This window comes from Homo sapiens, chromosome 13 (genome assembly GCF_000001405.40).
Source record: "Homo sapiens chromosome 13, GRCh38.p14 Primary Assembly".
NCBI classification, from domain to species: domain Eukaryota; kingdom Metazoa; phylum Chordata; class Mammalia; order Primates; family Hominidae; genus Homo; species Homo sapiens.
The window spans coordinates 41,830,718-41,852,912 of NC_000013.11; the positions used below are offsets into that span (position 1 = coordinate 41,830,718).

Below are 22,195 nucleotides of genomic sequence, written 5' to 3' on the forward strand. Positions count from 1 at the left end.
CAGCCAACAGTCTATTATTGCTGGCAATTGAGTCTAATAATTTTGTTAGATGGACCTTTCAAAATTTCAAATTGGCTACTGCTGTTACACTTCGCAAAACTGTTGGTTTCTGTACTGGAGGGCAGTAGTCATAAATATTTGATAGGGATATGAAAGAGGGGGAGGAGGAGGAAAAAAGAAAAGAGGAGGAGGAAGGAGAGCAAAAGAAACAGCTGAATGAGTATCTCAAGATAACCACAAGGTACATATTAATAAACAAGGCAGGTGGCACTTACTCTCTTCGGTCTAAAGTAACTCTGTAAGGGTTGGCATAAAAATATTTCTATCTTTGGAATTACAAGATTTAAAAATACAAAAATCTTATAATGAAATAACTACATTGCTCTACATATGGCAACTCTGAAGGTGACCTAACCATCCACATCACACATAGCATAGTCTTCCAGATGTTGCAATGGCTGAAAAGCACTGTTCTATATCTCACACCAACCCCTAAGTCTCCTAATGCCCACAATAGAGTTAGCCTACATAGCCTCCATTCTATAAGCACTGAAGGGAGGGGATGCTGTGTAATGCAGGGGATAGGAGCATGGCCGGTGGAACCAATCAGACCTGGGTTCAACTCCAGCTGTGCACCTTACTAGCTGAATGAGTGGGGAGAGGGAGAACGACTCTATCTCTCTAAACTCTCGTCTTCCATAACGTTAAGGCAACAGTCACAACTTCACAATATTAATGTGAAAACTAAACAGCTAATGTAAAATGGATGCTTATAGCTGTTCTCAATCTTGACTGTACGTTAGAATCTTCTGGGAAGTGTTTAAAAATGCCAATGTTCAGACCTTGGCCTAGACCAATTATATCAGAAAATTCTGATGGTGAAGCCCAGGCATGAGTTTTTTTTTTTTTTTTTTTTTTTGAGACAGAGTCTCCCTCTCGTCACCCAGGCTGCAGTGCAGTGGCGCGATCTAGGCTCACTGCAACCTCCGCCTCCTGGGTTCAAGCTATTCTCCTGCCTTAGCCTCCTGAGTAGCTGGGATTACAGGTGCATGCCTCCATGCCCAGATAATTTTTGTACTTTTAATAGAGACGGGGTTTCACCATGTTGACGAGGCTGGTCTCAAACTTCTGACCTCAGGTGATCCGCCCACCTCGGTCTCCCAAAATGCTGGGACTACAGGTGTGAGCTACTGCACCTGGCCCGCATCAGCATTTTTTTTTTCTTTTTTTTTGAGACAGAGTCTCGCTCTGTCACCAGGCTGGAGTGCAGTGGCGCCATCTCGGCTCACTGCAACCTCCACCTCCCGGGTTCAAGCAATTCTCCTGCCTCAGCCTCCTGAGTAGCTGGGACTACAGGCACATGCCACCACTCCCAGTCCATTTTTGTATTTTTAGTAGAGAAAAGGTTTCACCATCTTAGCCAGGATGATCTCAATCTCTTGACCTCGTGATCTGCCCACCTCGGCCTCCCAAAGCACTGGGATGATAGGCGTGAGCCACTACACCTGGCCGGCATCAGTATTTTTTAATTGCCACCCTGCAAGGTGATTCCAAGGTTGAGAACCTGAGAAGCACTGGCTTAGCACAATGCACAGAGTAGGTACTCAATTAATGGTAGTAGCTGCTTCTATTATTACTACTTGCAAACATGCAAGAGATAGCTAATAAAATGGGACTATTACCGTGTCTGCAGTGGTCTGGGAGAAAAAAATATTGTAAATCTATGGAACGTTTATGGTAAATCACTGAAAGTTTGTGACTATTTTTAAATGTTCTAAAATCTAATCAGGATTAACATAACGTATTTAGAATTTTTAATTACATTCAGTATCTGCATCACATCAAGAAAAAAAAAACTCTAAGTGGTTAGTTGGATAATGGCTTATTCTACTTATTTAACCTTTCCTAATGAGTCACAGTTAAAAATCAAATGTCTACAAGTTAGAGAACCAAAATAAACAGAAAATATCAGTATCATTAATCTCCTAAAATGATACAAGATGGGAATATTTTCTACAAAAGTTACACACGAAGAGCCTTCTCTTAACATTAAATTCTAGAGAAGTTTTAGGAATGTGTGGAAATTTTTCCCAACTAAACCAAAATAAGAAAACAATAGTTATAGAAATGTTCAAGTTTATAATTAACAAAGTGAGCTTTTTTAGTCTATATAAAATATAATTTAAAGCTATTATATATTTTACAAACAAAACTACTTTTCTCTCTCTCAAAAAAAAAAGATTCCAACAAGACCAACCAATAATTAAGATCTATGATTGATAAGGAGTGTGTAAATACTGAAGCTGTGACTCTGACAAATTATAGAAACTTCAGCAATGTGACATGCTGCATATATAGACCTGTATATATAAAGTTTTTCAAACTTACTACTGAAGCACTTTCTTTTTGCAGTGCCTACACACGGAATTCTGCTACAGGAGTGGCTTTTCCCAAAATGTTCATTATTTGGAGTTTTACTGCATTGTGTTTATAACAATAAAAAAGTGCCATTCTACTTGGTATAGAATCATGATTTTTCAGGATCTACACAACCCAGTTTAAAAAAAAGAAAAAGAATGAGATAGTTCCATCTTTACTGCTTAAGTCAGAGTGGGGTGTGTGTCTGTGTGTGATTTTTGTGACTCATACCCACCTTTGCAATACAGCAAGCGTGCCCGCATTCACCCGGTGAATGCCATCCAGCAGGACCAGCTTGCCTTCCAGAGCAGCATTCACAAGGGGTGAGGACCGCCAGGCAGTGTCTCCATTTGGAAGGGTGTATCTCTGCTGTAGCAGATCACGCGCTGTCATATCCTAAAACAAATCCCCACCACCCAACAAAGAACATGACGAATTAATTTTTAAGACATGCAAGGTAGCTTACATGGCTTTATAGAGTCACCTCCGTCTGAACTTAACATTCCATATAGTAACAGAGAAGTCATCTTCTCCAATTCCTAAAACGAAAGCTCTTCAGAAAGCTTTTTTTTGGTCATTTTAGGATTTTTTTCCATTACTCATTACATAATATAGTAAGAGTGAGAGGTTTTTTTCCCTACTTTATATTTAGCATTTTCTTCCGCTTTTAAAATGTTCGTTTACATAATGGCAGTAATTTCCACCTGAATAACAGAATTTAACTCAATCAGCTCTATTCCTGTGTTTTCATATGCCAACTTTTATGGTGACCTAACCATCCATGTGTTGACTCAATTTTAAAATGAGAGATCATGCAAACTCAACATGCAGAGATGTTTATCAATAATGTGCATTTTCTAGCAGTTGATGAGTTTTCCTGAAAAGCTATGCTAGGACCATCACAATGACTCATTTTATTTAAAGAGGCTTGATAATGGAGGAAATTGAAGAGGACAGTCATCAGATGAGGTACAGGAATTGGGAAACAATAGCATAGCACTTAAAAGCAATTTTTAAAAGCACACACACAATGTGCTAACAATAAAATAGTGTAACAGACTTAAGCAAACTATTAATAGTTGTGGCATATAAAAGTTTATCTACTGTAAAAAACTGGAGCTATATAATATGAACAATTTTTTCTTACATGTGCTAATGTGGATAGTTTCTTTTCTATCACCTTCAGATACATTTTGTGCGACTTATAGCAAAGAAAAGTTAAACACATTTACAGTCATTTTTATCCAAATATTTAAAGTCTTCTGTAAATTCTTGGCTACACACTCCCAACTTTCAGCAGATAGAAAACTAATGAATTTGCTTTATATTCATAATGGCAATGAATCTGTATTGAAACCAAGATTAAAATTTAAGTCTTAATTGTTTCAATCTTCTCACTATCAAGAAAGTACTGACTAAATGGCTATTACTAAAAATTCAAAAAAATAACAGATGCTGGCAAGGTTCTGTAGAAACAGGAACATTTTTACACTGTTGGGAGTGTAAATTAGTTCAACCATTGTGGAAGACAGTGTGGCAATTCCTCAAAGACCTAGAGGCAGAAATACCATTCAAGCCAGCAATCCCATTACTGAGTATATACCCCAAGGGATATAAATCATTCTATTATAAAGATACATACATGCGTATGTTCACTGCAGCACTGTTCACAAGAGCAAAGACATGGAATCAACCTAAATGCCCATCAATGATAGACTGGATAAAGAAAATGTGGTACATACACACCGTGGAATACTATGCAGCCATAAAAAGGAACTAGATCATGTCCTTTGCAGGGACATGGATGCAGCTAGAGGCCATTATTCTTAGCAAACTAACCCAGGAACAGAAAACCAAATACCACGTGTTCTCACTTATAAGTGGAAGTTGAATGATGAGAACACATGCACACATGGTGGGGAACAACACACACTGGGGCCTGTCAGAGGGTGAGAGGAGGGAGGAGGGATAGCATCAGGAAGAACAGCTAATGGATGATGGGCTTAATACCTGGGTGATGGGATGATCTATGCAGCAAACCACCATGGCACACGTTTACCCATGTAACAAACCTGCACATCCTGCACATGTACCTCTGAACTCAAAATAAAAGTTGGAAATTTTAAAAAGAGAAAGTACTGACTTAGGAAGTATGAATAGGCTCATTTTGAATCATAAAGACCTTTGAAAAACAGTAACATTCAAACTCAGCAACTTCCCATAAACTTAAAAGGCTGGTTTTGACACATTGTCAAAATTTGTTCTTTTTAAATAACTTTATTTAATTCTTCAACTATGAATTCTAAATTATATGCAAATTATATGAGCAATATCACTCTCTTGATGCCAATGACAGTTATAACAACCAAGACTAAATTGATCACCATCATCCGTGTTTACTGAGACAGTCACGACATTCCTCATTTTTCCTGGGCCCAAGCAAAAGATTCATTCCCACTCATGCTTATGCTACAGAACACCAAAGGGATCGCTCTCTAGAACAGGACAAAATCAAAATAAGTGTCTGTGGGTCATTTTTATAGTCAAACTATGAAAAAAAATCAAATATTACATATGCATATACATGTGCATATAAATATATATGTGTCTGTATATATATGTATGTATACAAATACATACAAACACACAGAATTTTTTAAAGTAAATATAAAAACAGATAAATTTAAAGAAAACTCCTGGTATGAATCATTCCAGAAAAATATTTGCCATAGAGTTACATCACACATTACCTTGGAAAAGTAAAAAAAGAAACAGAAAACACAGTTTAGCGCAGTGGTTCAAAATTAAAGATACATTATCAGAAACAGGTGGGGAACTTTTGAAACATATATAAACTTAAGCTCCACTATCCTGAAGATTCTGATTCATCAGGGCCAACATGGGGCCTACCATCTGTTTTTTATTAAACATTACATAGATGATTCTGATATGCCTCCCACGTGGGAAACACTGCTTAAAAAGATATTAAATTAAAATTCACTTATCTATACCCTTCCTTGTTCTAATATGATGTGAGATTGCAAAAGATATACAAAATGCACAACAAAATAACATAAATTAAAAGTAAAGTTAAAAATAAGAGAAAAAAAGAGTAGGCTTTGTCTATTTTAAGCATTCCTATTGGAATTCAGAGAGGAGATGGCAGGATGAAGGCATTCAACTAATATCATACTTTCAAAGAAACTGATGGATGTTAATTTTGAAAATCACAGCTTCAGACTGAAAACAGCTGATATCCTGGCCCAATTAAGGTTAGGAGTCTTTTGCTTGGGCCCAGGAAAAGATGAGGAATGTCGTGACTTCAGCAGACATAAGAGGCTCAGACTCCTAAAAAGCTGAAGCTAAAAACTGGTAACATTTTTTTTTTAATTTCAATAGAAAGAATTCCTCATTCTTATACCAACATATCTGAATCACCATTCTGTGCATGATATAAAAAAGCACTATTTCATTTGGTTATGATTCCAAAGTATTTTTTATCTTATTAATTCACAGGATGTGTACAGTACTTACCTTATTCAAGTAAGTAAACATTTATACTAACAGAGATGATGAAAAAGACAACTAGTACATAGGGCTCTTCTTTTACAATCTAGTAGTTGGAGACTCGCTTACATTTGCTAAAGTAAAATGAATGATTATTTTTTGCTACACAATATGCAGCAGCAGATCAATATAGCTCACCGCTATAAATGCCAACCAAAGCTATAGACCAGAAATGTTCTTCCTCTTTTCAATCTTCGGAGGGATAGAACATGGGAAATACTTGATATTTCTTAGAAGACTAGCTCAGTTAAATTTTATCACCTAAACTCTGTATACCATCATATTAGAAAGAGCCATTCTTCATTTTTAATAAACACACACGTGCAGATAGATGATAGATAGATAGATAGATAGATAGATAGATAGATAGATAGATAGAGATTTTTAAAAAATATTTTGTAGAGACAAGTTCTCACTCTGTTGTCCAGTCTGGTCTTGAACTCCTGGCCTCCAGCAATCCTCACACTTCAGCCTCCCAAAGTGGCAAGATTACAGGTATGAGCCACTGCCAATTTCTAATAAACCTTTGCATCAAAATAAAAACCTTCCTAAGAGAAAGAAAAGCACTCCCTTTAATATAAGCTATTGGTTTTCATAATTAACAACTTCTATTGAAAGACAAACATTTCAGCTTTTCCTTAAAGAGATAGTTGGCCCTACTTTCCCCAATATTAGTTATTATCAGAAGGTATTTTCAATTGTGTGAAAGTGCAAGGACACCAAAGCAAAACTAAACTTTCACAGAACAACTGAATCTAATCAAATCTAATTAATAAAACTTTTCAGCATAGGCTGAATGGGGAAGTGATATGAACTAATTTCAGGTAATAAGCTAATGTTTAAACCAAAGTAACATCACTTTCAATGGTTTCTGTCTATAGAATATTTGGTTTGTAGTACCATGAAATTATTGTTTTAATATCTTTAACAGACACTGCATCATGGAGTTGTGAAAAATATATATCATTTCCTCATTCTTCCCATCTACATGCACATTGCTATTAGTAAGCAGAAATGCAAATTTCTTTTTAAAAGTGTGCTTATTCCATACGGGCATTTGGGAAACACCCTAATAAAAATCAAGAAAAATCAACATCCTTATTTTTGCATATATTTTTCTTATCCTGAAACTCTTGAACTTAAGAGAATAAAAATAGCACTAATGATATCATAGAGCCTGATCCACTTCCTCTTTCTGCATTTCCTTAACATTTTTAAAATAACAGGACATGAAATTTAATTCCTTTAGGTCTACCACTGTCTAACCTTGAACACCTCACTTTCATTCAGATCCCTGGAAAACATCCATGTATCTCTTACGATTCCATGTCAATTGGAATTATGTTCTTTTGATTTGTAACTGAGAAACTCTACTGAAAATAAAAACATCCTGTTAAAATGAGAAGCACAACTCAAGAAATGGATCAGAGAACATAAATTTGAGCCTTAAAGCAATGATATGCTTTAAATGTTTTTAGTACCTTTAAATGATCTAAGCTAATTTTTTTGAGAATTCCCTTGAGAAATCCAGATACAGTCAATACTCAATAAAATAACTGTACAAAGTGGTTGTGTGTACAGTATCTAGAATATCATTAGAATTATTTTTCCAAGGCATAATGTCATTCAGAAAAAAATCTGAAAATATTATAGTACATTGTTAGTGTGTAAAGAAATTTGAGCTACCTCTCTTACTGATACTAAAGTAAAATTTTACATTATAATGCACATATAACTGTCTTATAGGAAATTAAATTGCTTGTAGCAAAAGTAGAATATCAAAGTACATATAGAGTATGACTTCAACCAGGTTTAAAAAATACGCATTTCTACCACATATATAAACCCAACAGTTTCAGAAAGTATTTAAGTTGAGTTGCAAAAATATGCTTAATATAATGTATTATAAAATTAAACATAAGTGGACAAGGAAAACTAAACAAGGAAAGATGAAACTAAGGAAAAAATAATATGCAAAATATATCTGAACAGTCTAAAATTTGAATCTAATCTAATATCCAACATAAAGAGTGACACTAAAAAAAAGTTACAGGTGTTCCTGTATTAGTTTGCTGAGAATGATGGTTTCCAGCTTCATCCATGTCCCTGCAAAGGACATGAACTCATCCTTTCTTATGGCTGCAGAGTATTCCATGGTGTTTTTGTGACAAATTTTCTTTATCCAGTCTATCATTGATGGGCATTTGGGTTGCTTCCAAGTCTTTGCTATTGTGAATAGTGCTGCAATAAATATATGTGCGCATGTGTCTTTATAGTAGAATGATTTATAATCCTTTGGTTATATACTGAGTAATGGGATTGCTGGGTCAAATGGTATTTCTGGTACTAGATCCTTGAGGAATTGCCACACTGTCTTCCACAATGGTTGAACTAATTTACACTCCCACCAACAGTGTTAAAGCATTCCCATTTCTCCACATCCTCTCCAGCATCTGTTGTTTCCTGACTTTTTAATGATCACCATTCTAACTGGCATGAGATAGTATCTCATTGTGGTTTTGATTTGCATTTCTGTAATGACCGGTGATGATGAGCTTTTTTTCATATGTCTGTTGGCTGCATAAATGTCTTCTTTTGAAAAGTGACTGTTCATATCCTTCGCCCACTGTTTGATGGGGTTTTTTCTTGTAAATTTGTTTAAGTTCCTTGTAGATTCTGGATATTAGATCTTTGTCAGATGGATAGATTGCAAAAATTTTCTCCCATTTTGTAGGTTGGCTGCTCACTCTGATGATAGTTTCTTTTGCTGTGCAGAAGCTCTTTAGTTTAATTAGATCCCATTTGTCAATTTTGGCTTTTGTTGCCATTCCTTTTGGTGTTTTAGTCATGAAGTCTTTGCCCATGCCTATGTCCTGAATGGTATTACTGAGGTTTTCTTCTAGGGTTTTAGTTTCTAGTTTTCCTAGCACCATTTATTAAATAGGGAATCCTTTCCCTATTGTTTGTTTTTGTCAGGTTTGTCAAAGATCAGATGGTTGTACATGTGTGGTGTTACATCTGAGGCATCTGTTCTGTTCCATTGGTCTATATCTCTGTTTTGGTTACTGTAGACTTGTAGTACAGTTTGAAGTCAGGTAGCATGATGCCTCCAGCTTTGTTCTTTTTCCTTAGAATTGTCTTGGCTATACGGGCTCTTTTTTGGTTCCACATGAAATTTAAAGTAGTTTTTTCTAATTCTGTGAAGAAAGACAATGGTAGCTTGATGGGGATAGCATTGAATGTATAAATTACTTTGGGCAGTATGGCCATTTTCATGATATTGATTTTTCCTATCCATGAGCATGGAATGTTTTCCCATTTGCTTATGTCCTCTCTGATTTCCTTGAGCAGTGGTTTGTAGCTCTCCTTGAAGAGGTCCTTCACATCCTTTGTAAGTTGTATTCCTAAGTATTTTATTATCTTTGTAGCAATTGTGAATGGGAGTTCACTCATGTTTTGGCTGTTTGTCTATTATTGGTGTGTTGGAATGCTTGTGATTTTTGCACATTGACTTTGTATCCCAAATACTGCATGTTCTCAGTCACAAGGGGGAGTTGAATGAGACCACATGGACACAGGGAGGAGAACATCACACACTGGGGCCTGTCTGGGGATGGCGGGGCTAGAGGAGGGATAGCATTAGGAAAAATACCTAACGTAGGTGACGGGTTGGTTGATGGGTGCAGCAAACCACCATGGTACATGTATACCTATGTAACAAACCTGCACGTTCTGCACATGTATCCCAGAACTTAAAGTATTAAAAAAAAAAAAGTTACAGGTGGTAGCTCATGCTTGTAATTCTAGCACTTTGGGAAGCTAAGGTGGGCTGATTGCTTGAGCTCAGGAGTTCAAGACCAGCCTGGGCAACAAGGCAAAACCCCATCGCTACAAAAACTACAAAAAATTTGCCAGATATGGTGGTGCACACCTGTAGTCCCAGCTACTTGGGGAGCTGAGGCACAAGGATCACTTGAGGCCAGGAGGTGGAGGCTGCAGTGAGCCAAGATTGCACCACCGCACTCTAGCCTGGGTGACAAAGTGAGACCGTCTCAAAAAAAAAAAAAAGGTACATAAGTCATGATGATCACAACATCAACACCAAATCAGAAGCAGCACCACAATTCTTGATAATAAAATTGAGAAAAATTTGTTTCATGGGTCAGGTCATCCTATAGAGAACAACATGTTAAAGAGTTAAAAATAGAAGTAATAATAATTATTACAGCTAATCCTTATGGAAAGCCTAACAAGTGCCAGGTACTTTGCATATGTTAACTCATGTAATCCTTATAACCTGAAGAGCCATGTACAATTATGTTCTTCATTTTACAGAGAAGAAAACTGAGGTATGAGAAGGTCAAACAGTTTACCCAATCAAGGACACACAGCTAGCAGGCAGAGGAGCCAGATTGTCCTCAAGTATATTATGACAATGAACACAGCAATAAATTTCACTAAAAGAAATTCCCATAAGGAAAGAGCTGGATTGGATTAATGAACCCATGAATAGATTGCAGTTAATATAGGAATATACCAATAACACACCTCTCAGGCTAGCTTCACAAATTAACTTCTAATAAGTCTCAATCATCTTCTTTGAGAAGAGTTAAAAAGTGTGACTATGATGCTAACCACTCCCCAAACAGACCCCAAATACAGCTAGTCTTTATTGTTGTTTTAAAATTTATTTCAAAACATATAAAAAAGATTGAAATAAAAATGCTTTAGTTAAAAGTAAGTACATCTCTAAGTAGATATGATTCTTCATTCTCATTTCTGAATTAAAAATATAAACAGTAGGCCGGGTGCGGTGGCTCACGCCTGTAATCCCAGCACTTTGGGAGGCCGAGGCAGGTGGATCACGAGGTCAGGAGATCGAGACCATCCTGGCTAACACGGTGAAACCCCGTCTCTACTAAAAATACAAAAAATTAGCCGGGTGTGGTGGCGGGCGCCTGTAGTCCCAGCTACTCGGGAGGGGAGGCAGGAGAATGGCGTGAACCAAGGAGGCGGAGCTTGCAGTGAGCCGAGATCGCGCCACTGCACTCCACCCTGGGCGACAGAGCGAGACTCTGTCTCAAAAAAAAAAAAAAAAAAAAAAAAAAAAAAAAAAAAATATATATATATATATATATATATATATATATATATATAAAAACAGTAGACATTTAATATTTTTTCAATTGGGGTAAATAAGCACTAATAATGATTTTGTTTTCCAAAGGAAACTAGCTGAATTTCTGTAGGCTTTCCAGGTCTACCTCAAATGAGTTTTACTTATTAAGCAATACTTATTATACCAGGAAAATACCATACCAGTAGTATAAACAAGAAGAAAATCTGGGATTATGTGAATAAAAGAATATACCAAGAATAAGCCATTGACTTTGTAATACAGTATTAACTATGCCCACACCTATTAGTGGCAGCAGAATGCTACATAAATATTGTATAAACATACAATGTTAATAATTTTTAGGTCCTGAAATAGAAATGAAGCCATTATTTCTGGAATCTAAGCATGCTCAGTGAACAGAACGCAGGCATGCTGCCAACATTCCTCAGTGTCATTTATGTTTGATCTCAAAAAGGCCTCTCATTTTACATATATTGTAAAATTATTTGTAAACTCTTCCATCCTTCTCCCTCAAGTTCCTCTTTTAAAGAACTATTTTTAACCTGTAGCACATAAAATTAACTCCCTTTTATGTACAGGATGCGATGTTGACATTACAAGCCTACTATGTTGATTTCAGTTACTCTGCTGTCAATGGGGAAAAGTTGATTTTGCAGTTGTATGTGTGGTAAGCACTGGAATCTATTTCAAGATGATCTGCTTTAGTTAAAGATTTATACTATGAACACAGAATAAATTTCTCTCATTGAAGATAACCAGAAGTCAAACCCACTATGTTGCTAACAACTGATTCAACTAAAGGACATCTTAATAAAGATGCAAAATTAAATATAAATGTAAGGTCAGTATAGGTGCAGATAATACAGTTATGTACTCCATCAAGATACACAACCAAATACCCTCATTTTATCCTTCCTATACTACAAAGGCTAGAAAACTAGAAACATCATTTCTTAAAGTCTGTGCAGCTAGAGTTCTATTCATGAACCAGGTTCCACCAAGCATTCTCATGTACAAGAGACTGGGAAAATGGCAGTCAACAATGGGAGTAAGGGAGCAGCCAGCACAAAGAAAACTGCTCTTCTAGGGCATCAATGGCTAAATTCCTCCTGGTACTACCATTCCTTACTGGGTAAAATGTAAATTGCATTCCCTGTTTCTCCCAGAAATTTTGTAAATTAGCTAACACTCTGTAAATAATATCTTTTCATTTTAGAGACTGAGTACTATTGTTTACCAGAAAGCCAGAACTTAAGGATGATGATATTTAAAAAGTAAATCAACTTGTTAAAGATTGTAAAGAAAATGTTGACAACTAAGTACATTAAGAAGGACAAGAAGAGTTTCACAAGGCAAGAAGCAGAGATGCAATAGACTAAAACCCCAGCATATACAAACTAAAGAATCATATTTTATTCAAATAGTACTACAAACTTTGTTGCATTTTATCACAAATGTTAGACTCCCTTAGAAAAACAGGTGTGAAAGTAGCAATAAATTCTAGTTTAAGTATCTGCAATAAGCTAAACACTTAAATCAAGAAGTTAGAAAAACTTCAAATCAACAATCTAATCTAACATCACGGCTAGAGGAACTAGAAAAACAAGAATAACCTAACTCCAAAGCTAGCAGAAGAAAAGAAATAACTAAAATCAGAGCACAACTGAATAAAACTGAGACTGAAAAATCCATACAAAGGATCAACTAACCCAAAATTTGGTTATCTGAAAGGATAAACAAGATAGACCACTAGCGAAATTAATAAAAAAAGGGAGAAGATCCAAATCAGCACAATCAGAAATGACAAAGGTAACATTACAACCGATCCTACAGAAATACAGATCATCAATCAATGCCTACTATGAACACCTCTCTGCACACAACTAGAAAATCTAGAGGAAATGGATAAATTCCTGGAAACACACAACCTCCCAAGACTGAATTGGGAAGAAACTGAAACCCGAAACAGACCAATATCAAGTTCTGAAATTGAATCAGTAATAAAAAACTTACCAAAAAAACACAACCCTGGACGAGATGGATTCACAGCTGAATTCTACCAGACATCAAAAAAGAGCTGGTACCAATTCTACTGAAACTATTCAACACAACTGAGGAATAAGGACTCCTCTCTAACTCGTTCTACAAAGCTAGCATCATTCTGATACCAAAATCTGGCAAAGACATAACAAAGAAAGTTAAATATAGGCCAATACCCTTGAGGAACATGGACACAAAAATCCTCAACAAAATACTAGCAAAACATATCCAGTAGCAAATAAAAGTTAATTCACCATGGTCAGGCAGGCTTTATTCCTGGGACACAGAGTTGATTCAACATATGCAAATCAATAAATATGATCACCACATAAACAGAATTAAAAGCAAAAGCCATTTTGATCATCTCAGTAGACACAGAAAAAGCTTCCGATAAAATCCAACATCCATTTAAGATAAAAACCCTCAACAACCTAGGCACTGAAGGAACATACATCAAAATAATATAATAAGAGCCAGCTATGACAAACCCACAGGCAACATCACACTGAATGGGCAAAAGCTGGAAGCATTCCCCTTAACAACTGAACAAGACAAGGATGCCCACTCTCATAACTCCTATGCAACATAGTACTAGAAGTCCTAGCCAGAGCAATCAGGCAAGACAAAGAAATAAAAGGCATCCAAATAGGAAGATAGGAAATCAAACTATTTCTCTTCCCACATGATATGATTCTATACCTAGAAAACCCCACAGACTCCCTCAAAATGCTGCTAGAACAGATGTCAGTAAAATTTCAGTATACAAAACCAATGAACAAAAATCAGTAGCATTCCTACATACCAGTAACATTCAACATTGAATGGATACACCGATAACATTCAACATCTAATGTATACACCAATACATTCAAGCTGAATGTGTCAGGAACACATTCCTATTTACAATAGCTGCCAAAAAAAAAAAGTTAAATAAAATACCTAGGAATACATGTAAAAAAGGAGGTGAAAGATCTCTACAAGGAGAACTATAAAACACTGCTGAAAAAAATCACGGATGACAAAAACTAACGGAAAAACATTGCATGCTCATGGATTAGAAGAATAAATATTGTTAAAATGACCATACTGCCCAAAGCAATTTACAGATTCAATGCTATTCCTATCAAACTCTCAATGTCATTTGCCACACAAATAGAAAAAATTATTTTAAAATTCATATGGAACCAAAAAAGGCCCAAATAGCCACAGCAATCCTAAGCAAAAAGAACAAAGCCAGAGGCATCACATTACATGACTTCATGAAAAGATACTTCTCAGAAGACATACAAGTGGCCAAAAAACATACGAAAAAATGCTCAACATCACTAATCATTAGAGAAATGCCAATCAAAACAATGAGATACCCTCTCACATCAGTTAGAATGCCTATTACCTCTCACATCAGTTAGAATGGCTATTATGAAAAAGTCAAAAAATAACAAATGCTGGCGAGATTGTGGAAAAAAGGGAACACTTACACACTGTTTGTGGGAATGTTAGTTCAGCCACTGTGGAAAGCAGTTTGAAGATTTCTCAAAGAACTTAGAACTATCTTCATTCGACCCAGCAATCCTATTACTGGGTATATGCCCAAAGGAAAATAAATAGTTCCACCAAAAAGACACATGCACATGTATGTTTACTGCAGTACTATTCACAACAGCAAAGACATGGAAGCAAACTAGATGCACATCAATGGTGAATTGGATAAAGAAAATGTAATACATATACACCATTAAATAATATGCAGCCATAAAATAGAATGAAATCACATCCTCTGCAGCAACATGGATGGAGCTGGAAGACATTATAAGCAAACTAACGTAGAAACAGAAAACCAGATACCACTTGTTCTCACTCACTCATGTTCTCACCCACTCAAGTGGGATCTAAACATTGAGTACACACTGACATAGAGATGGGAACAATAGACAATGGGGACTACTGAGTGGGAGGGAAGAAGTGAAGGGTGAGGGCTGAAAAATAACTGTTGGGTACTATGCTACCTGGGTGATACGACCATTCATACCCCAAACCAACAGCATAACACAATATACTCATGTAACAAACCTGCACACGTACTTCCTGAATCTAAAATAAAAGTTGGAATTAAAAATAAATTAAATATCTGCAATAATATTTGCCTCATAATAAGCTTTTTAGTTCTTTTTTTTTTTTTTAAGAGACAGGTCTCCCTACATTGTCCTGGCTAACTATTCATAAGCACTAATAGTGTACCACAGTGTTGAATTCCTGAGCTCTAGTGATCCATCCGCCCAAGTAGGTGGGAATACAGGTGTGTGCCACTGTGCTCAGCTTATAATAAATTAGTTTCTAAAAGCAAGTAACAAAATATGAAATCAAGATTGGTGTAATTATGAATTACCCGTTTGGTATTCAATAAAGACACCTGGAGCAGATACTGCATTTGACCACCCTCAACACCACTCAAATCCCTGTTAGTCAGCCACATGAGGGGTAACACATGTGAAAGGATGGCTACAAAGTGAGGAAGGCTGGGATTCAATTCCACTTCTGCAACTTCCTTATTATGTGATAAATGAGTGAAATGAGTAAAATATCTTTAGAATTAAATGAGATAATGCCTGGCACCTAATGGTTATTTAATAAATGACAGCTGAATCTGAATCAAGTGAAGAAACAAACTATAAATATGTTCAAATTTTAATATAACAATAAGTCTCAGTTCACAATTCAGGACAGTAATAGAAGTGATATGACAATGCTGCACACAATTAAATGACAGAAAATTCCTATCTTAGAATTTAAAATAAAGTTAATATTAAAGCAGGTAAAAATAGTAAAGAAAAGCTGACAACAGAGGTCATTTAAAAATAATCTAAAATTTTCAGGCTAGGCACGGTGGCTCACGCCTGTAATCCCAGCACTTTGGGAGGCCAAGGTAGGCGGATCACCTGAGGCCAGGAGTTCAAGACCAGCCCGGCCAACATGGTGAAACCCCATCTCTACTAAAAATTAGCCAGGTGTGGTGGTGCACACCTGTAATCCCAGCTACTCGGGAGGCTGAAGCAGAATTGCTTGAACTCTGCAGGCAGAGGTTGCAGTGAGCCGAGATCATGCCACTGCACTCCAGCCTGGATGACACAGCAAGATTATGTCTCAAAAAATTAATTAAATAATCTAAAATTTCCACAATTTATTCATTCAAATATATATTGAATATATATATGAAGAGAGAAAGAGAGAGAACCAGCCTACTGCTTGCAAATCACTGTTTCAGGTGCTGAGAATTCAGTAGTGAAAAAAATAAACATGGATCTTACACTCCAGTGGGAATGAACAAAAATAGATAAAGGAAAGGAGACAGGAGGAGAAGAAAGGAATAGAAGGACACAAATAAGAAAATACCACATAGTAGTTGGTACTACACAGAAAATATCAGATAGTATGATGGCAAATGACTCAGTGCATCAAAAACGCTTTCTCTACAGATATTTAAGTTGAGATTTCAAAGTCAAGAGGCCACGTGAAGATCAGGCAAGAATATTCCAGTCTGATGACACAGCCTGTGAAAATGCCCCATAGCAGAAAGAAGCCAGACAGATTTAAGGGATTAAAAGTACCCAGTGAGACTGAAACATATCAGTAGAGGGTCCAGCAGGAAGGGAGAAGGCTGAAGAGGTAGGCATGGATTGGGTCACATAGCGCAGTGGTTCTCAACCCTGGCTGCTGGTTATAATTGAAAAATACTGGTCCCACCTCCCACCAATTACTTTAGACTCTCTGGTGGTAGAGCCTGGACACTGGAAGTTTTTCAAAGATCCTTGAGTGGTTCTAATGGGTAACCTCGTTAATGGAAGACTCATATGCCAGGGTAAAGTGTCTTTATTTTATTCTAAGTATGATGGGAGGCCATTGACAGATTCTAATCAGGGAAATGAAAAGATCTGATTTACATTCTTAAGAGATCACTCTACAACTTTAGTGAATAGAATATGGAATGCAACATACTCTAACTACATATCTACAAATGTTCAAATGACAAAACTGATGAGTTCTTAAAAACTCTATAAAGTAAAACTCCATATGCCAAATGCATTTTCCACCAAAGGCTCAATAATGGGCCCAAGGATAGTGGGTTAGAATTTTTGGAAATGTTCATGGTTACAGTAGATCCTGCAAAAAACAAATGATGGAATATTGACAACTGGCTATGAGGGGTGAGGGTGATGGGGAGAAGGCTAAGAAATGTGCCATGTTCCAGTACTTGACAACTCTTTTGATTGACAATGCATCCCTTTTGGCACCTTCCTCACAAAACTAAAGCTGCCTTTTCTGAATTGCTACTCCATGGAAGACACTGTGCAGCAGGAAGCCAAACATTTGTTCACTAGCTGGGAAACAGAAAAGAATCCAATGGATTCAGGGAGAGTTACTAAAAACAAATGAGGAGCCTCTCACTTGAAGCAACATAGAAAAAGGCTTGCTAAGATTAAAGAAATGTGCTGGTTGAACTCTCAGGGTAATATGGCTTGGCTGTGTCCCCACCCAAATCTCACCTCGAATTATAATCCCCATAATCCCCATGTGTCATGGGCGGAACCAGGTGGAGATGACTGGATCATGGGGGTGGTTTCCCCTATGCTGTTCTTGTGATAGTGAGTGAGTTCTCATGAGATATGATGGTTTTATAAGCATCTGGCATTTCCCCTGCTTGCACTCAACTCCCTCCTGCCACCTAGTGAAGGTGCCTGCTTCTCCTTTGCCTTCTGCCATGATTGTAAGTTTTCTGAGGCTTCCCCAGCAATGTAGATCTGTGAGTCAATTAAACCTCTTTCCTTTAAAATTAACTAGTCTTGGGTATTTCTTCATAGCACTGACAGAACAGACTAATACACAGGGCAGCCTTCCCACCTATGTGATAGCATAGTGACTATCATTCCTCTCCTGCAGGGGCTCCCTGTCTGCAGCTACCTAAATCTGGGAGAGCTTAAGGGAGCTACTAGAAATAAACATGAAGCATCAGAGGTGCTAGGCTGGCTAAGGCTCCTCTTTAAATTGTTAACCTTTTAACAGCAGTCAATAGAGTGTAAAATCAGGATTTTAGCAGCTTCTACCAACTCAAATCCCAAGATACTTCAACTCCACATTCCTGGAGGCATGAGTTGAGCTCTGTAAAAGATTGCCTTTTCCTTCTCTGTTATTTTTGGCTCTATCTCTATGGTTCTGCCAAATGGCTTCCACTTCAAACAGCCTTGTTTCTAACTATGAGACTGGCTTTAAAATCAGCAATAAAGTTCTACGTATTCAGAAAGTGATGTGGATCCTGAAAAACTGGGGTTTTCTTTAATAGGGGAAGAATACAAAACTAAGCATTTAGGAATCATAAAAGGCATCTAGGTCATAAAACTGAAAAGCATATATTTACTTTTCATTTCCAGGGGAAAAAATATGTTCACAAAATATATTCTACTTGCAAATATTTGTAAATTTTAAAATCAAATCAAAGTTATACCCTTCATTATTTTCTTTTTCAATATATTTCCCACAAGGATGGATCATAAGGATATATAGATATATCTATAAGATATGTAACTTCATCACTAACGTCACTAACCTCTGGCAAACTCCTCACATTTGCAGTGGTCTTCAATGACTATAAAATCCTGAGGACTCTCAAAAGATTTCCCTAAGACTCCTAATCAAAATTACTGTAAAGTACATTGAAAACAGAAGTGCATAGGTCAGGCACGGTGGCTCGTGCCTGTAATCCCAGCACTTTGGGAGGCCGAGGCCGGTGGATCATGAGGTCAGGAGTTCAAGACCAGCCTGACCGATATGGTGAAACCCTGTCTCTACTAAAAATACAAAAAGTGGCCGGGCACGATGGCAGGTGCCTGTAATCCCAGCTACTTGGGAGGCTGAGGCAGGAGAATCACTTGAACCTGGGTGGCAGAGGTTGCAGTGAGCCAAGATCGCGCCACTGTACTACAGCCTGGGTGACAGAGTGAGACTCTGTCTCAAAAAAAAAAAAGAAAAGAAAAAGAAAACAGAAGTGCTGCCTAATGGAGATGATCAAACACAGCAATGTGTTGCTACCAGCAGGACTATGACTTCATTACATAATGTCCTTATGTCTGGAGTTACTCCATGCAGAGTTCCCAAATTTGAAGTTTCTTCCCTCTTCAACTTCACCGATCATCAAGAATAGTAAAAGAAATACCTTTCAGACAGGAGTTCCTTATTTGGTGGGATTCCTTGGTCATTTTACCTTTGTTTTCTTTCTTGGACTAATGGATTTGGCTTTACTGTAATGTTTATTTTTATACACATGCCCAAAGGCCTCCTAGTGTGTCTTTATAAATCTAATAAATACCTCATGATAATTAAGTTTATTAACACAAAAGATGTTATCCATTACTAAAAAAGTACACTTTAATTAAATAAGGAGCCAAGTACATACTATAATGTAGTTCCCTGTGGACCCAGTCACCAGGCCCAGCCCAGCAGGCCCTGGTATCAGGCAGCCCCCTAGACTCAGGGACCAGGACCCAGCTCATACCCATGTACCCTGGTTCCAGGACCACCATAGTGCCACACTGGACTCTGAAGACTCAGCCTCAAGGTCTGCCATAGCACTATGTTAGGTCCCATCAACCCAAGTTCAGGCTGTTCTCCATGAACTCAGGCTTCAGAGCCACCCTCAGAGACTTAGTTGATAGGCCCACTCACCTGCAGAGTCAGGCACCAGGCCAGTCCACCTAAGGACTCCATTAGCAAGCCAAATGAAAGACCCCACCAGATGGTCTGCCCAGAATGTCTGGCTGGGTTGGCTGGTAAAAAGCTTTCCCTATCAAGGCCAGTCTATAAAGACTGGATGTCCACTTCTTCAAATGCACAGACACCAATGCAAGCCCATGAGGATCACTAACAATCAGGGAACCAAAACCACCAGAAGAACAAAATAAAGCACCAGGAACTGACACTAAATAAATGGAGACCTACGAACTACCTGACAAAGTATTCAAAATGATGGTCTTAAAGGAACAGTGAGCTAAAGAGAACACAGGCTACTAAATGATATCAGGAAAACAATATACAAACAAAGTGAAAAGCTCAACAAAGAGATAGAAACCATAGTTACATATTTTTTGTGGTAAGAACATTTCAGGTCTACTGTCTTCGCAATTTTTAAGTATACAATATGGTATTATCACCTATAATCATTATAATGTACATTAGATCTTGAGAACTTATTCATTCTGCTTAACTGAAACTTTGTACCCTTTGACTAACACTTTCCCCTTTTTCCCATTCCCCAGTTCCTGACAACCAGCACCCTATTCTCTGCAGAGTCAGGCACCAGGCCAGTCCACCTAAGGACTCCAGCAGCAAGCCAAATGAAAGACCCCACCAGATTCTATGAGTTTGATTTTTTAGATTTCACATTTAAGTGAGATAATGTAGTATTTGCTTTTCAGTGGCTGGCTTATTTCACTTAGCATAATGTCCTCCAGGTTTATTTACATTATTGCAAATGACAGTGATATGGTTTGGCTATGTGCCCTTCAAATCTCAACTTGAATTGTATCTCCCAGAATTCCCACATGTAGTGGGAGGGACCCAGGGGGAAGTAATTGAATCATGGAGCCTGGTCTTTCTCGTGCTGTTCTCGTGGTAGTGAATAAGTCTCATAAGATCTGATGGATTTATCAGGGGTTTCCACTTTCACTTCTTCCTCATTTTCTCTTGCTCCAGTGATGTAAGAAGTGACTTTTGCCTCCCACCATGATTCTGAGACCTCCCTAGTCATGTGGAACTATAAGTTCAATTAAACCTTTTTCTTCCCAGTCTCGGGTGTGTCTTTATCAGCAGTGTGAAAATGGATTAATACAGACGGGATTTTCTGCTTTTTAAAGGCTGAATAATAATTCATTCTGTATATACTGCATATTTTCTTTATTCATTTGTCAATGAAAACATGTTAATTACCTATCTTGGCTATTATGAATATGCCACAATAAACATGGGAGCACAGATATTCCTTCAAGATACTGACTTTATTTCCTTTGTATATACACCCAGAAGTGGGATTGCTGGATCATGTGGTAGTTCTGTTTTTAATTTTTGAGGACCCTCCATACTATTTTCTATAATGTATGTACTAATTTACCTTTCTACCAACAACGTACAAGCATTTCTTCTCCACATGCTTACCAACATTTGTTACCTTTTATCTTTTCGATATTAGCCACTCTAACAGGTGTAAAGCAATATTTAATTGTGGTTTTAATTTGCATTTATCTGATGATGAGTGATGTTGACCACTTTTTATATGTACCTGTTGGCCATTTGTATGTCCAACAAGTATATTTTAAAATGCCTGAGAAATGTCTATTCAGGTTCTTTGCCCATTTTAAAACTGGGTTGTTTTATTGCTACTAAGTTGAGTTCCTTTTACAGTTTAGAAATTAACTCTTTGTCAGCTGTCATTTGCAAATATTTTCTCCCATTTTGTAGACTGACTCTTCTCTGTTGATTGTTGGCTTTGCTGTGCAGAAGCTTTTTAAGTTTGATGCATTTATCTCATTTATCTGCATTTATCTCATTTATCTATTTTTGCTTTGGCTGCCTATGCTTTTGGTATCATCTCCAAAATACTGTTACCCAGACCAATATCTGCAAGCTTTTCCCCCTTCTTTTCTTCTAGTAGTTTTATAGTTTCAGTCTTACATTTATGTATTTAATCCATTCTTAGTTGATTTTTGTATACGGTATGAGATAAAGGTCTAATATCATTGTTCTGCATGTGGATATACAATTTTCCCAGTACTATTTATTGAAAAGACTATCCTTTCCCCAATATGTGTTCTAGGCTCCTTTGTTGAAAACTAACTAGCCATTAATAGTATATTATTTCTGGGCTCTCTATTCTGGTTCCATCCATCCATATGTTTGTTTTTAATGCCATGCTATTTTTATTACTATTCCTTTGTGGAATATTTTGAAACCAGGTAGTGTGGTGCCTCAAATGTTGTTTCTCAAGAT

At 37.1% G+C, this 22,195-nt stretch overlaps 1 protein-coding gene across 2 annotated transcripts in view; it reads right to left on the reverse strand.

Annotated features, from left to right (window-relative positions):
- Positions 1-22,195, reverse strand: part of VWA8 (von Willebrand factor A domain containing 8) — a 394,275-nt gene that overhangs the window by 263,883 nt on the left and 108,197 nt on the right. For both annotated transcript variants that reach the window (NM_015058.2, NM_001009814.2), the window contains exon 13: positions 2,654-2,814. In NM_015058.2, the coding sequence (NP_055873.1) occupies positions 2,654-2,814 (161 nt within the window). The remainder of the gene's footprint in view (positions 1-2,653; positions 2,815-22,195) is intronic.